This window comes from Homo sapiens, chromosome 5 (genome assembly GCF_000001405.40).
Source record: "Homo sapiens chromosome 5, GRCh38.p14 Primary Assembly".
Classification (NCBI taxonomy): domain Eukaryota; kingdom Metazoa; phylum Chordata; class Mammalia; order Primates; family Hominidae; genus Homo; species Homo sapiens.
In genome coordinates this window covers 81,488,241-81,504,521 of record NC_000005.10, presented here as the reverse complement: position 1 = coordinate 81,504,521, position 16,281 = coordinate 81,488,241, and the positions used below count along the sequence as shown (strand labels likewise).

Genomic DNA, 16,281 nt, shown 5'->3' with positions numbered 1-16,281 from the left:
TAAGGGACAAACAAGTGCAAAGGCCTCCAGTTCAAAGCATGACTGTTTAGGGACAGTAAGATAGTCTGGCTAGATAAAGTAGAGCATCAGCTGGGGAGAATTGTGAGATAGGAAGTCATAGATAACAGAAATCCAAGTCAAGAAGAACCTTGTAGGTTATTGTAGGGACTTTGGATTTTCCTCTGAGTGGAGGGTTTTAACAGCATCATTCTGGCTGCACATGGAGATTAGTCTGTTAAAAGAAAGTGTGGAAACAAGGAGAGCAGTTTGCATGTCATTGCAAAATTTTGACAAGAGATTATTATACCACCAAGGAGGTAGCAGTGGTGAGAAGTAATTAGATTATATATTTTGATACTAGAGCCAACAGATTTGTTTTTTCTTTTATTTTAGATTCAGGGGTACATGTGCTGGTTTGTTATATAAGCAAACTCGTGTCACGGGGGTTTGTTGTACAGATTTTTGTTACCCAGGTTCTAAGCCTGATACCCAATATTTATTTTTTTCTGATCTTTTTCCTCCTCCCACCTTCCACCCTCAAGTAGGCCCCAGTATCTGTTCTTCCCTCTTTGGGTCCATGAGTTCTCATCATTTAGCTCCCATTTATAAGGGAGAATATGTGATATTTGTTTTTCTGTTTCTGCATTAGTTTGCTAAGGATAATGGCCTCCAGCTCCATCCATGTTCCTGCAAAAGACATGATCTCATTCTTTCTTTTTAATGGCTGCATAGTATTTCATGGTATATATGTACCACATTTTCTTTATCCAATCTGTCATTAATGGGCATTTAGGTTAATTCCATGTTTTTGCTATTGTGAATAGTACTGCTATGAACATGCAAGTACATGTGTCTTTATGGTAGAATAGTTTATATTCCTTTGGGTATGTACCCAGTAACAGGATTGCTAGTTGAATAGTAGTTCTGTTTTTAGCTCTTTGAGGAATTGCCACAGTGCTTTCCACAATGATTGCACTAATTTGCACTCCCACCAACAGGGTGTAAGTGTTCCTTTTTCTCTGCAACCTTGCCAGCATCCATTTTTTGTTTTGTTTTGTTTTGTTTTTTGAGATGGAGTCTCGCTCTGTCACCCAGGCTGGAGTGCAGTGGCGTGATCTCAGCTCATTGCAACCTCCCCCTCCCGGGTTCAAGCTATTCTCCTGCCTCAGCCTCCCGAGTAGCTGGGATTACAGGCATGCACCACCACACCCGGCTAATTTTTTGTATTTTTAGTAGAGATGGGGTTTCACTGTGTTGGCCAGGTTGGTCTTGATCTCCTGACCTCATGATCCACCTGCCTCAGTCTCCAAAAGTGCTGGAATTACAGGTATGAGCCACCACGCCCAGCTGCATCTGTTGTTTTTTGACATTTTTATAATAGCCATTCTGACTGGTGTGAGATGGTATCTCATTGTGGTTTTGACTTGCATTTCTCTAATGATCAGTGATGAGCTTTTTTTTCATATGCTTGCTGGCCACATGTATGTCTTCTGAAAAGTGTCTATGTCCTTTGCCCACTTTTTAATGGGGTTGTTTGTTTTTCATTGTAATCTTGTATAAGTGCCTTATATTAATAGATGCTGGTGGATATTAGACCTTTGTCAGATGCATAGTTTGCAAATATTTTCTCCCATTCTATAGGTTGTCTGTTTACTCTTTTGATAGTTTCTTCTGCTGTGCAGAAGCTCTTACGTTTAATTAGATGCCATTTGTCAATTTTGATCCAACAGATTTTGATGATAGTTTGGATATGTGTTGGCAAGATAAAAAGACAAGTCAAGGATGAATCCAAGGCTTTTGTCCTGTGCAGCTGGAAGAATGGAGTTGATGTTTACTGATGTGTATAAAACTTCAAGAGGAGGTGTGAGATGGAATTATCAGCTTAATTGTGAACTTGTTAAGATTGAGATGGCTGTTAGACATGCAAGAGGTTTTGAGTAGGGAACAAGATGTGAGAGGCTGGACTTTTATGTTTGAGGCTTGAGCTAGAGAGAGAACTCTGAGAGTCACTAGCATATGGATTGGAATATATTTGAAGCTATGAGCCTGGATGACATCAACAAGATAGTGAGCATAGATGGAAACAAGAAGCTGTGCAATGATGGATCCCAGGACACTCTAACATTAAGAAATTAGGAAAATGAAGAGGAACCAGCCAAAAAGAGCAGCCCTTGAGACAGAAAGATAACCAGGCAAGGAAGTATGCTGGAAGCCAAATGAGGAAAATGCTTTGAGGAGGAGAAGAATGATCAGCTGTGTCCAATACTGCTGATAGGTCAAATTAGTCAATGGCTCACAGTTGACCATTGGATTTAACAACAAGGAAGTCATTAGTGGCCTTGTTCAATGTGGTCCTGGGGGTGAAAGCCTCATAAAAGTGGATCTAGGTTAAGCTGAGAGGAGAGAAATTGGAGGCAATGAGTATGGCCAACTCAAGGAGTTTTGATTTAAAGGAAAGTGAAAAATGAGGCAGTAGGTGGAGGGAGAAGTCAAGGGAAGACAGAGAAATGCTGCTAGGAGTGAAATGTTGGCTCTTACAAACTATTTTGAGGAACAGAGAAAAAACAGCCCTATTGGCAACTATGGGAAAAGAGTATCTGCTATTCCCATCCTCCCAAGCAATCGGGTACCATTTTCAGTACAAGAAACAACACCAGGGGGCAGGGCGCAGTGGCTCACGTCTGTAATCTTAGCACTTTGGGAGGCCAAGGCGGGAGGATCACGAGGTCAGATCGAGACCATCCTGGCTAACATGGTGAAACCCCGTCTCTACTAAAAATACAAAAACAAAATTAGCCGGGCGTGGTGGTGGGCGCCTGTAGTCCCAGCTACTCAGGAGGCTGAGGCGAGAGAATGGCGTGAACCCGAGAGGCGGAGCTTGCAGTGAGCCCAGATCACGCCACTACACTCCAGCCTGGGCCACAGAGTGAGACTCCATCTCAAAAAAAAAAAAAAAAAGAAAAGAAAGAAAGAAAAGGAAACAACACCAGGGAATAGAGTAACTGAATACCCTTTGTGCACAGTAAGATGCTTATCAAAAAAGAGTAAAGTATAATTAATTACTTGGAATGCCTGCAAATGTGAATACTACCTTCTCTATGTCATTTTTGTATTCTACAAATACTCTCTGACATCACAAATACCTTTGACATCCATTTGAATTTTTATCAGCCATTGTGTATATGTATTTAAGATGCATATATTTCAAAATGTATGCATGTGTGTGGGTGTATGTGCATGTGTGTGTGTGTGTATATATATATATATATATATATATATATATATATATATATATATATATATATATATTTGAGATGGAGTCTCCCTCTGTCACCCAGGCTGGAGTACAGTGGTGCGATCTCAGCTCACCACAACATCTGCCTCCCGGGTTCAAGCAATTCTCCTGCCTCAGCCTCCCAAGTAGCTAGAATTACAGGTGCCCACCACACCCGGCTAATTTTTGTATTTTTACTAGAGACGGGGTTTCACCATGTTGGCCAGGCTGGTTTCAAACTCCTGATCTCAGGTGATCTCCCTGCCTTTGCCTCCCAAAGTGCTGGGATTACAGGCATGAGCCACCGTGCCTGGCCTCAAGATGTATATTTTAAATGGGGATTCAGAAATAACTTTAATTTGTGCAATTTGAATTCTCATTTTGCTTATATTTATACTTTTAGCATTAGTCAAATTAGTAAGCTCTAGTTTCAAAACAGACTTCTTGGTGCAATAATAATTTCTCAGTTCTATAAAATATGAAAATCTGGGCTGGGCACAGTGGCTGACGCCTGTAATCCCAGTACTTTGGGAGGCCGAGGCAGGCAGATCACAAGGTCAAGAGATCAAGACCATCCTGGCCAACATGGTGAAATCCCGTCTCTACTAAAAATACAAAAATTAGCTGGGCATGGTGGCACGCACCTGTAATCCCAGCTACTCGGGAGACTGAGGCAGGAGAATCACTTGAACCCAGGAAGTGGAGGTTGCAGTGAGCCGAGATTGTGTCACTGTACTCCAGCCTGGCGACAGAGTGAGACTCCGTTCCAGCACTTTGAGATGCCACAGCGGGAGGATCACAAGGTCAGGAGTTCGAGACCAGCTTGGTCAATATGGTGAAACTCCGTCTCTACTAAAAATACAAAAATTAGCTGGGCGTGATGGTGGGTGCCTGTAGTCCCAGCTACTTGGGAGGCTGAGGCAGGAGAATCGCTTGAACCCGGGAGGCGGAGGTTGTAGTGAGGCGAGATAGCGCCACTGTACTCCAGCCTGGGCAACAAAGCAAGACTTCATCTCAAAAAAAAAAAGTTATGTTTTATAGAAACATCTTACCTAGTTCAATACCATCTTACATAGTTCAGATATGAGTTGAGTGGCTTTAAGTATAAACTTCATGTCTATAAGTAACCAAATGAATATGCAAGTATTTTTTCATTCCTAAAGAAGTAAAAACATATATAACCAGCCAGTTATATCAGAAGATCAAGCCCATAGGCCAGTTTCTTTAACAAATGCTGTTATCTCTGCATGGGAATTTGAAAGGACTACCACTTAATCAGTAGAAACTTCCCAAGCATATCAAGATATCAGAAACTTAAGAACAAAACGCTATGCTTTTTTGCAGTGTTACATTTAAATAAATTGAAGTACCTATCTTCCATACTTCATCTGGAGCAAGTTTACATGAAAGTAGGAATATAAAGTAGAGAAAAGGGAGACAAGAGGAATATTTTTGCATTCTTTAATGAAAAGTTCAGGTGATTTTTAAAAATTATTGTTTTAGCATCTTTTTGATTAAGTCAGCCTAATATTTTATCCTAAATTATAAATCTCAAATCTTTATTGTCTTACCCAAACTGTTATTTTTTTAAATATGGGTTAATCTGTCATTGTCATTTTAATCAGTAGTAGGAGGCAGCAGAGGAGCACAGTAGCTCCAGATACTTGCCTCACACCGAATTTTTCTGAATATAAATGGATTTAAACAAACTATTTAAAATTGTTATAGAATATTATGAAAACATTCACAGTTTATTAGACCAGCAGACAGCTTAGTCTCCCATTCACAATCCCACTGTCTGTTGCTACACACCTTTATCCAATGAGTACCTGGTAATGAAGACTTGAGGAAAAGTCTCATCTTCTTGAAAAAGCTCATAATATCAGCGGCCAATATTGATGCTTAGACTAAATTCATGTAGAAGAATCAACTTGTTTGTAACTCTGCTCTATTGGGTTAGCCTTGCCAAAATAGCATCAAGGAAACTGGATCTGTCATTGCTTTACAGTTATTTTATGTGAGTTATTTTAATTAAGTGTTGATGATAGAATATCTAAGATGTATGGGAGATAAACTGCATACTTATGCTTATCAGCAGAATATGCCAGCATAAGTATGTCATCTTGTGATCTAAATTAGTTTAGTACTAGTTGGAATTAAAATGTGTTAATCAGGAATGTCTTATCCACTGGGGTGTCAGTAATGTCTGATGGAGATGTTCATGAAAAACAGAAAGGAAACTAAACAAATTAAGATATATGAATTGTAAAGTAACTTTGACAAAATTCATTTGATGTATAATTTATGCATCATTACTTTTCTACAGAAAATGTATGAAGTATCTCATGGAATTATAAAAATAAAAATATGTGAACATTCTTAAAGATGGCTGAAATAAGGATGTCACAATACTCTAGTGATTTTTCAACGTAATATTCTCAATATTATTTATTTAATACTTATTGATAGCACATGACTTCAAGAGCGTTAACACATTTAAGTTTAAAAAATGATTTGCTTGTAAGTAAAATATAGAATAGCAACATACAGAATAGAAATCTATATAGAGAAAATTATATACGGGAAAGATAATTAAATTAACTAAAAAAGGGCACATCATGAATAATAAGTACTACTTTTTTAAAGAATGTTTATGCTTTTGGTTAAATCTTATAGTAAATGTATTTTTATTACTTTTGCAGAACTATGAATAAATAATTTTACAGTCATTTTTATCATTTTATAAAATTATGTTTTAGATTCTAGAATAGTTTTTATGTCATGGAATTTTGTCTTCAACAGAATTCAACACTGTTTCAAATAGTGCAAAGAAAGTATCAGAGGAAAGAATAAATATGTCTAAAGTCATGTTTACACAGGTCCAAGTGAGATAGATTTGGTATATACGTAGTTAATATAATTACTGAAGATAACCCATATTTTTCCAGGCTGTATTTCACTTTGTACCTTGTGTTTTTACCTAAACGTTGAGTAAAGAAAATTACTTTTTGGCAAATAACCATTTTCTTACAGGTTTTTAATCTAAAGATGGTTATGTGCTAAAGACAATATGATATTAAGAAAGCAGAATGTTTTATGTTTTTACTCAAATGCTGAGCCTTTTCTTAATGGAAAGAAAATATTTCAACTAAAATATGTTGTTTCTGAGACCTGAATATTATAGTTTCTAAAATATATTTCAACCTAAAACGTTAGGTTCCCAGTTATAAACATGGCCTTATATAAGACACACCTGAGAGGCAAACTGCTATATAGAATTGTTAGCAGTTCTTGTGACTGGTGTATGCTTCAGAAAAAGATCAGTAAGTTACCACACTTTTCTTCCAAAATTGTATATAAATTAACCTGATATCCTTTTGTGCCAAATCATGTTTACTAAATACTGCAATTCTGTAAAACTACCTAAGACTCATTATTTTCAACCCTGTCACCCAGAAACAGTAAGAGAAACCTGAAAGCAGGAGAGAATGAAAGGCCTTATTAGTCATCTAAATTATAAGTTCTCTTGTATACTGTTAGTATGGATATTTGGGGTCCCCAGCTCTTTGTTTTTTACTTACTCTTACTTAGGACCTCTGGAAGATATAATTTATCCTATTTAAGCGAGCAGGATTTCTTCCTCTAGACATACTTTATAAGCATTTTCTCATTAGACAACCAGATATGTTATACCAATAGTCTGATTTACTCTTTACCACATCAACGGATACTGCCTATTTTTAACAAGACAAATAAATTGTCCAGGTGAGATTTTATACAAGAGGACCAAGCTTTATTATATCTTTTGCGGGCTTTTAGTCTTCCATTAGGGTTGGTGATCACTTGGTCAATGGGCCAGCTACTGAAGCAACCAAATATTTACTGAACATTTGCTTCATACATTCTGTCTTCGAATGTGCTAGCTGCTTTCTTCCATTCTTCATGAACCACATTATAATGAACATCTTTGTTATAATGACGATAATTAATACCGTACCCATTTACCACCATTCTCTACCCATCCTCTACTATTCCCTTAAAAACACAAATAATTGGACTAAAGACTACATATATTGTCAAAACTCCACCAAAAATGTTCCAGAAAAGAGAGATAGAGCTTTTGAAATTTATTTTATTTCAGTTGTTACATTTCTTTTTAGTCTGGTGAATCAAGAGCACATGCTAATTGGTGCTTTATGTGCAAATTAGCTTGCCTACCTGAAATACCACTACATTTTCACCTTTCATGTTTGAGTGGTAACTAAAGAACTCCACATTAAGTATTTAATAAATGGTTGCACAGTTGCTGAGGGCCTGAGAGAAAGTGCCACATCAAACAATTTATTTATGTACCATACGCTTTTTGTGACCAACTGACCATAAAATGAGCCTGGTACATAAGTGTGTGTATCTGCCGTTATTCTAAAGGTATTCCTATGGCAGGGTGTTACAAAGAAAAGAAGACTAAAATGGCAGTTAAGAAATTTGGTCTTCGGTTTTCTTTTACATAAAATGAGGAGGATGTAGTAAACTTTAAAAAGTTAAACTTCCTTCTTGAACATGTTTCTAAAAGGCATATTCAAATAACATTGCATAAGTAATATTTTATTATATATGTATAACACAGAACTTGCAAAACTTCAAGTGAGCAATTTTGTGAAGTAAGAAGTCTTTGTTAAGTAAATGATCACTTGCTAAATTATTTTGTAAGTTTATATTTTCTTAAACCTGGTAATTATATATTTCTTACAGTCATTTAAAAAGTTCTGGCCGGGTGCTGTGGCTCACACCTGTAATCCCAGTACTTTGGGAGGCCTAGGCAGGCGGATCACCTAAGGTCAGGAGTTCGAGACCAACCTGGCCAACATGGTGAAACCTTGTCTCTACTAAAAATACAAAAATTAGCCAGGCGTGGTGGCACATGCCTGTAGTCCCAGCTACTCAGGAGACTGAGGCAGGAGAATCACTTGAACTCAGGAGGCGGAGGTTGCAGTGAGCCGAGATCGCGCCACTGCACTTCAGCTTGGGCAACAGAGTGAGACTCCGTCTCAAAAAAAAAAAGTTTTAAAACTTCTAGGTTTTCAAATTTGGAAGCTACTTTCACATGAATAATTTTATCCTCAAAAAAGTCCAAAGTTACTTTAAATTACATAAGTCCTGTATAATTGTGCGTTTTAGAACTGTACCTCAGACTTCTAAGTTTTCTGACATGTAAACTGTCCTAAATGTTAATTCGTTCATTCTAAGGAAATTATTGTTATTCTTTTCTTCATCATTGATTGTTCTAAATTGTGCTCATAAAATAAAAGATAGAATATAGAAAATGCTTAGCAATTGACATTTTAGAGGGTTTTTTTTACTTTTTAATGATTTTTAATTTTCTTTATTATTAATTTATACTGAAAAACTAAGATTTAAAGAACTTTTAAAGCCAAGATGAGATATAATGAGATACAAGTTGAGATATAATGAGATATAAGGTAAGATATAATGAGATATAAGGTGACTTATATATTGCTACATCAATTTTAGGTATTCTAAGAAATGCTGGCCTTATTTTAAGAATTAATTATCTTGACATTAAGATAGTTGTTGCTCTGATAGTATTTTGTATTCTTTCCTCTAAAGTACAGTTCCTTCATATCGGAGTATGTTATACCACAGTGTACTAAATCCTCTATGATAAGTGGTATAAATAAAGTGCTGATGAAGTAGGGGAAATGGAGCCTATAGAAATTCTTTAAAGAGAAAGCAGTGTTTCAAAACTGGCCCTTGGGGAATTAATTTACTTGGCAGAGAAAAGCGAGTACAGCGTAATCTTCAGGAACAGAGAATATTCTGGTGTTGGGGAATCATATTTATATGGAATTTTTAGATTCTATTGACAATGTTAGAAAATATTAACAAAATTAACATTTGAGCAATGTGTCATTTAAGATGTACAGTTTTATCATATATGTCTTCAAGGCAGTTAGGGCTTAAAATAGTTTGTATCACCAGTAATTTCAGGTAAATAATTTATAAAACAGTTTCATTAAGGGGCCTGGGACCTTCAAAAAGAAAAGACTTCGACTGAGGGATCTACCTTTAGCTAATATGAAGAAAGAGCTGGTTCCTTCTAATTCTTAGGGAATTGAGATAAAAAGCTAAGGGCTTATGAAAGATCAAAATAAGGGGAGGGGAAACTACTGCTTTTGTGCTAGCAGAAAGGACAAGAAATAAAGGAAAATCTCTCTTTTAGGAAACTAGAAGTCTAAAATTCCATGAATAATTCTTGATATAATAGAAAAATAATTATTTAAAACATAATGGCATTCATTCTGAAGTAAATTATGATTCTAAGTGGTGTAATTTTTTCTCCAAAAGACTACTTGGAGAAAATGAGGTGAACATTTGGTTTGCGTTTCTATTAGAGTATTTTTTTTTCATTTTGTCACCAAATATTTATTGATTTTCTTGGCTTGTATATACTTTTATTTCTTCTACTTTGGGTTATTCCATTTATTTTAGACTGTTTTAGTTTGGGCTGCTATAATAAAATGCCATAGATGAGGAAGTTTAATCAACAGAAATTTATTCTTTGGAGTTCTGAAGGCTGGGAAGTCCAAGATCAAGGTGCCAGCCAATTTGACTCCTGGAGAGGACCCTCCTCCTGGCTTGCAGATGGCCATAATGCTCACATGGCAGAAGGAAAGAGATCATCTCTCTTGTGCCTCTTTTTATAGGCGTACTAATCCCATTCATGAAGGCTCCACCCTCATGACTTAATTACTTCTCAAAGGTCCCACCTCCAAATACCATCACATTGGAGATTAGGATTTCAATATATGAATTTTATGCAGACATAAACATTCAGTCCGTAGCATACACAGATCACTAGAACATGTAGAAATGAGAATTTATACCTATAAATGTAGTTTCCGTATGTCAGAGTACTAACTATGCTACCCAGTTTCTCTTATAAAGTAAATAAGCTTACCTTATGAGTTTTTCCTAATTTTGAAACTTTTTTAAAAGCATAGCCTTGATCTTCAGTATTCATAGCACTACATGTTCTATCAAATAGGGATGATGTAATATGACTTTTGAGGAAAGACAACAGATTGAAATATTATTTTCCCTGGGTTTTCATTGATACTCGCCATTTGGTGAAGAGAACATTCTATTTGTCTCAGATTAGTGGACTGATGTAGAAAAGAATTTTTATAGAAATTGTTTCTCCTATTAATTACAAGACTGTGAACCTTGAAAAATCCTAATCAGCGGGTAGTCATTTTTATCTTCCTTGTTCACTGATATATCTAGCCACTTAGAACAGTGCCTTTGTGGGTGTTTAATAAATATTTGATGAGCAGGACATGATGGTTCATACCTGTAATTCCAGCACTTTGGGAAGTCAAGGCAGGATAATCACTTGAGCCCAGGAGTTTGAGACCAGCCTGGGCAGCAGAGCGAGCACCCATCTCTACAATTTTATTTTATTTTTTTTTTTGAGATGGAGTCTCACCCTGCCACCCAGGCTGGAATGCAATGGCATGGTCTTGGCTCACTGCAACCCCGGCCTCCCAGGTTCAAGCAATTCTCCTGCCTCAGCCTCCCAAGTAGCTGGGACTACAGGCACATGCCACCACATCTGGCTAATTTTTTGTATTTTTTACTAGAGATAGGGTTTCACTATGTTGGCCAGGATGGCCTTGAACTGCTGACGTCATGATCCGCCCACCTTGGCCTCCCAAAGTGTTGGGATTACAGGTGTGAGTCACCACGTCCGGCCTGCAATTTTTTTTTTTAATACCCAGGTGTGGTGTTGTGTACCACACCTGTAGTCCCAGCTACTCAGGAGGCTGAGGTGGAAGGATTACTTGAGCCTGGGAGGTTGAGGCTGCAGGGAGCCATGATCATGGCACTGCACTCCAGCCTGGACAATGGAGCAAGACCCTGTTAATCTATCTATCTATCTATCTATCTATCTATCTATCTATCTATCTATCTATCTGTTTTGTTCATTCAAATATATATATGTTTTTGATATATATATGTTTTTGAATATATATATATGTTTTTGAATGAACAAATTTCTACCATACTTTCTCATTGTTAAGTGTAGCTTTTTTATTCTCCTAATTGACCTTTAATCTGACACAACAAAGAGGACTGTTGTGTTGTGGGATATTTAATCTTTAGGTTTTTCTTTTTCTCTATGAAGCATGGTAATAATTTTCTTTAGCTCCTTGATGAAAATGGTTTGTGCCTTAGGAACATATGCCTTTATCCCCACTCCCTGCCTCACCCACACACACTTCAAATATTTATAGCTATCTACATTATACTAATCTTTATATTTAAATGTAATACTAAAAATAATTAACACAGAATCATTGGTTCCTTATTTTAAAAGGGACTTTAGAAGTCACCTGGTTTAACTCTCTCATTTTAAGGTTGAGAAAACTAAAGCCCTGAAAGATGATTAGCTCAGGGACACTGCTAATTAATAGAGGTACAGAAACTAAAACCCAGGTCTTTGACTCCCAGTCAAATGTTATTTCCACACACATTACAAATAATCCTTTCTGGGGAAGGCTTTTTTCCAGTTAAAACACTGATTCACCATCATGATACCTTCAAACAAGTATTTGTTACTCAAACTTAAAAAAAAAAAAGAATGTTGCCCCAAACATAAAGAGTAAACACATTTTAAGAGCCAAACACTCTTTTCTGCCTGTTTTTTTGTTTCGTTTTGTTTTGAGAAAGAGTCTTGCTCTGTCACCCAGGCTGAAGTGCAGTGGCGTGATCTCCGTTCACTGCAACCTCCGCCTCCTGGGTTCAAGCGATTCTCCTCCCTCAGCCTCCCAAGTAGCTGGGATTACAGGCGTGTGCCACCAAGCCCAGCTAATTTTTTGTATTTTTAGTAGAGATGGGGTTTCGTCATGTTGCCCAGGCTGGTCTCAAACTCCTGGCCTCAAGTGGTCTGCCCACCTCGGCCTCCCAAAGTGCTGGGATTACAGGCATGAGCCACCTCGCCCAGCCCAAAGACTCTTGAAGAACCTATTCTTCTCAGATTGCTAAAGCAGGGAATACTGACATGTCTGTCAATAGATATAATTTATATTAGCATAATCTCTTGGACAGATTAGCATTTTACCATAAAATAATTAAAATTGGGGTTAACATTTTGAATTTCATTTGAAAGCAAATTGACTTCTGAATAGTGAAGTACAGATACTAGTGCAGATTATTCTCAGTTGCTAGTATGCAAACGCTTTTAGATTCTGTTGCTGTGTCTACGCAAGCTAATTCACTAGGCAGTTGAGGACTTAGGTGGTTATCTAGATAACATAAGGGAAGGATCAATCTGAATACTAAGCCATGTTATAACAGCACTAATTTTGTGTTAAAAATACTTTAACCATAGTAATCTTATATTTCAGGTAAAAGTAGTAGTTTTTAGCTATATTAACCGATTGTTTTGTCTTTTTGTGCTTTAATTGTGTGAAGATTAGAGTTTATAAGTGGTTTTCTATTTCTTTTTTTTTGGCCTCCAAAAAAACATACAAATTTGAACTTAAAGGAGGACATATAAGAGTAATAAATTGACTAAAAACAGAATCTGTCTCTTTCTCTTGATCTCATTTTGTAGTAACCTGCAGGTTCCCAGCTAGCACATACACTGACCCTCCCTCACAGCAGCTCCTTCACAGGGCCTCAGTCAGGTAGGAGGGTATAGACAGTTCCATTAACATACACTCATTCACAATGCCATCCATTTGGGGAAAAAAAATTCTCCTTTTACATATACCACTAAATAAACACTGTATCATCTTCTTACATTCAGATCAACACGCAGATCTCAAGTGTTCTTCTGTTTCAAGTGAGGCACTTCTAAATATTTATCTCAACATTTGGTATTTAGTAATATTTTTCACATAATTTTACCTTGTATTCTACTTCAAAGTGGTTGTATTACAGACAAAAATTATTAGTAACCTATTTTTATGTCTCCATGTTTCAAAAACTAAATTGATACTATATTTTGAATTAATGACTATGTCATAAAACATCATTTTGTAAAAGACAGCCATTATAAAACCAATGACACAATATTTATTAAATTTTTTAAATTAGTCCAGAATTAAAAAGACAGCTTCATAGGTGAAATTAGGTGATTTATAAAGGAAAGAGAAAATAACAGAGAGAGTGTGAATATTAGAATAAGCTTCTAGTTGACAGTACATAACTAACTTATCCAATTTATGGTAGAGTTTCAAAATGATAAATGAGAGACAACTTTAATCAAATATGTGAAAACTAAACGTTTTTAAAATCAACTTTGTTAAAATTGGAAAATCTACTTAAGTTTTATCAGCTGGAGGTGACAATACTACCTGACTAATCTACTGTTTCTGTCCATATAAAATGAACTGCTGGAAGCACTTTTACATATAAGAACACAGTGAACAAAAAGCCAAATTGCTCACTTAATTGTGAAGCTCCTTTTGTTGGTTTGTCAGACTCTGCAAAAGATACTACAGGAAAAATCTATACAGCATTAATTAGGATTTTATTTTTTAGAGGCTCCTTTTAAAACAGCTCTGGAAAACCTGAGTAGCCATGTCCTCCAAGCCTAATTTCTAAAAATATTTGTAGAAAATACATTCTACATGTAGGATTTAATTCTGTAATGCACTGTCAATGATTTCCCCAAACCTTTGTCTACTTGCTGTATATTACTTCTTAATTCATATTAATTAATTCTTAATATCTTAATAACATTCAACCCGTTAGATTTGATATTTGCTTATATTACATGTAAGAAACATCTTACGTTTAAGTAATTATATGTTGAGATGTAATTAAACAAAATTATAATTTTTCTGTTGTTTCTAGAAAAATAAATAAAAAATCAAATTTTAAATAATTTAATAAACTTATAAAATTTTGGTGCCTAAGTCTGGATGATCAAAAATAGTCTCTTTTTACCTTACCTAAACATTTCACTAAAATGTTGCTTTTAGGATACTTTTCAGACAATTTCCAGACTGACAGATTCAGTACATCTTAGGAGCCTCTGACTCATCCAGCAACATAAATTAACTTGACTTTTAATATAAGATCATTTTTTTCTTTTGTTAAAAATATACGCTTCATAATCAGCTAGGGTCAAAATATGCAAAGAAATTTCAACTTTAAAATTTGTAGTCAATTTTTTTTTTTTTTTTTAAGAAATGAAATGTTACTGTGTTGCCCAGCCTGGAGTGCAGTGGCTGTTTACAGGCATGGTCATGATGCACCACAGCCTCTAACTGTTGAGCTCAAGCAGTCCTTTGGCCTCAGCCTCCCGAGTAGGTGGGACTATAGGTGTGTGCCGCCACACCCACAGAGTCCGTTTTGAACTATAAGAAACCCATGATGAGGAAAAGCCAGAGCTTTTTTGACTACAGATGACCCTTGGAAAAGAAATTTATTTATCATTTTAAACAAAGCTATAAAAGATGAAATTTGGCAATTTTAAAATTATTAAAGGAATTGATAACCAAACCAAACAATTCCATCAAAAGTATCTATTTAGAATGTAATAACATAGGCAGTAAGCTGCCTCCAGAGGTCCTTTTTAAGATTAAATTGCCTGCTTCTCTACCTTATTTTTTGCCACTAGATATTATTGCCTTAATAATTCACATTTTTAAAAGATTTTGCTATAGTTACTTTAGCCAGCTTTTATGTTTTTACATTTTCTTTGGAAAATTTTCTAGATATTCTACAAAATAAGTAATGGGATGGTAATTTTTCTTAAAAGCATTTATTATGCTGAAAGCAGCCTCAAAGTACATTGATTTGTGATTTGATTAATTCTAAAATTTTTTAAGTAGTTTATTTTCAGATATGTATTTTACATTGTACTGTTTTTTGTTTTGTTTGTTTATTTGTTTTACTTCAATAGCCTTTTATGTCACCTCGGTACCCTGGAGGTCCAAGGCCCCCATTGAGGATACCTAATCAGGTAAGATTTATGTGCTATGTAAGTTTTTTGTAAGAATCAAAGATCTTGAAAATGTCACATATATTTATCATCCTGTAAAAATATGAAATTCTCCTTTTTCTGTCCCATTTAATGCTATTTCTAGTCTGCTTCAAGGGTTGGCAAACTACAGCTCATAAGCTAGCTATTTTTTATAAATAAAGTTTTATTGAAAAACATCCACACAGATCTATTTCTGTATTGTCTGTGACTACTTTTACACTACAATACAGATTTAAGTGGTCATGGCAGAGACCATATGTGGCCGGCAACCCTAAAATATTTACTATTTGGATCTTTACAGAAAAAAGTTTGCCCATTCTTGGAGTCTACCTTATACTTCGAACCTAATTTAAAAACTTGTGTAATTTTGGTAAATGCTGATTATCCTCCCGTTTAAAGAACGGCAATAAAGACAAAAAACCTAACACCACATGTTCTCACTCATAGGTGAAAATTGAACAGTGAGAACACATGGACACAGGAAGGGGAACATCACACACTGGGGACTGTTGTGGGGTGGGGGGAGGGGGGAGGGATAGCATTAGGAGATATACCTAATGCTAAATGATGAGTTAATGGGTGCAGCACACCAGCATGGCACATGTATACATATGTAACAAACCTGCACGTTGTGCACATGTACCCTAAAACTTAAAGTATAATATAAAAAAAATAGCAAAGGACCTGAATTGGTGTTTTCCAAAGAAGATATAAAAATGGCCAACAGGTATAGTGTATGAAAAGGTGCTCAATATCACTAATCATAAGGAAATGCAAATCAAAATCACAATGAGATATCACCACACAGCTGTAAGGATGGCTATTATCAAAAAGACAAGAGATAACAAGTGTTACCAAGTATGTAAAGAAAAGGGAACTTTTGTACACTGTTGCAGGGAAAGTAACTTGGTACAGCCATTATGGAAAACAGTATGGAGATTCTTCAAAAAATTAAAAATTGAACTACCATACGATACAGCAATCCCAT

At 35.9% G+C, this 16,281-nt stretch overlaps 1 protein-coding gene across 91 annotated transcripts in view; it reads left to right on the top strand.

Moving 5' to 3' along the window:
* SSBP2 (single stranded DNA binding protein 2) overlaps positions 1–16,281 on the top strand; it is a 339,004-nt gene that overhangs the window by 247,286 nt on the left and 75,437 nt on the right. For 81 of the 91 annotated variants that reach the window (NR_174563.1, NR_174539.1, NR_174533.1 and 78 more), the window contains one exon: positions 15,213–15,272. The exons of the other annotated variants lie outside the window; for them this stretch is intronic. Coding sequence is in view for 45 of the 81 variants with exons in the window: in XM_047417062.1 (XP_047273018.1) it covers positions 15,213–15,272 (60 nt within the window). In the remaining 36 variants the exon portion in view is untranslated. The remainder of the gene's footprint in view (positions 1–15,212; positions 15,273–16,281) is intronic. 91 annotated transcript variants of the gene reach the window in all.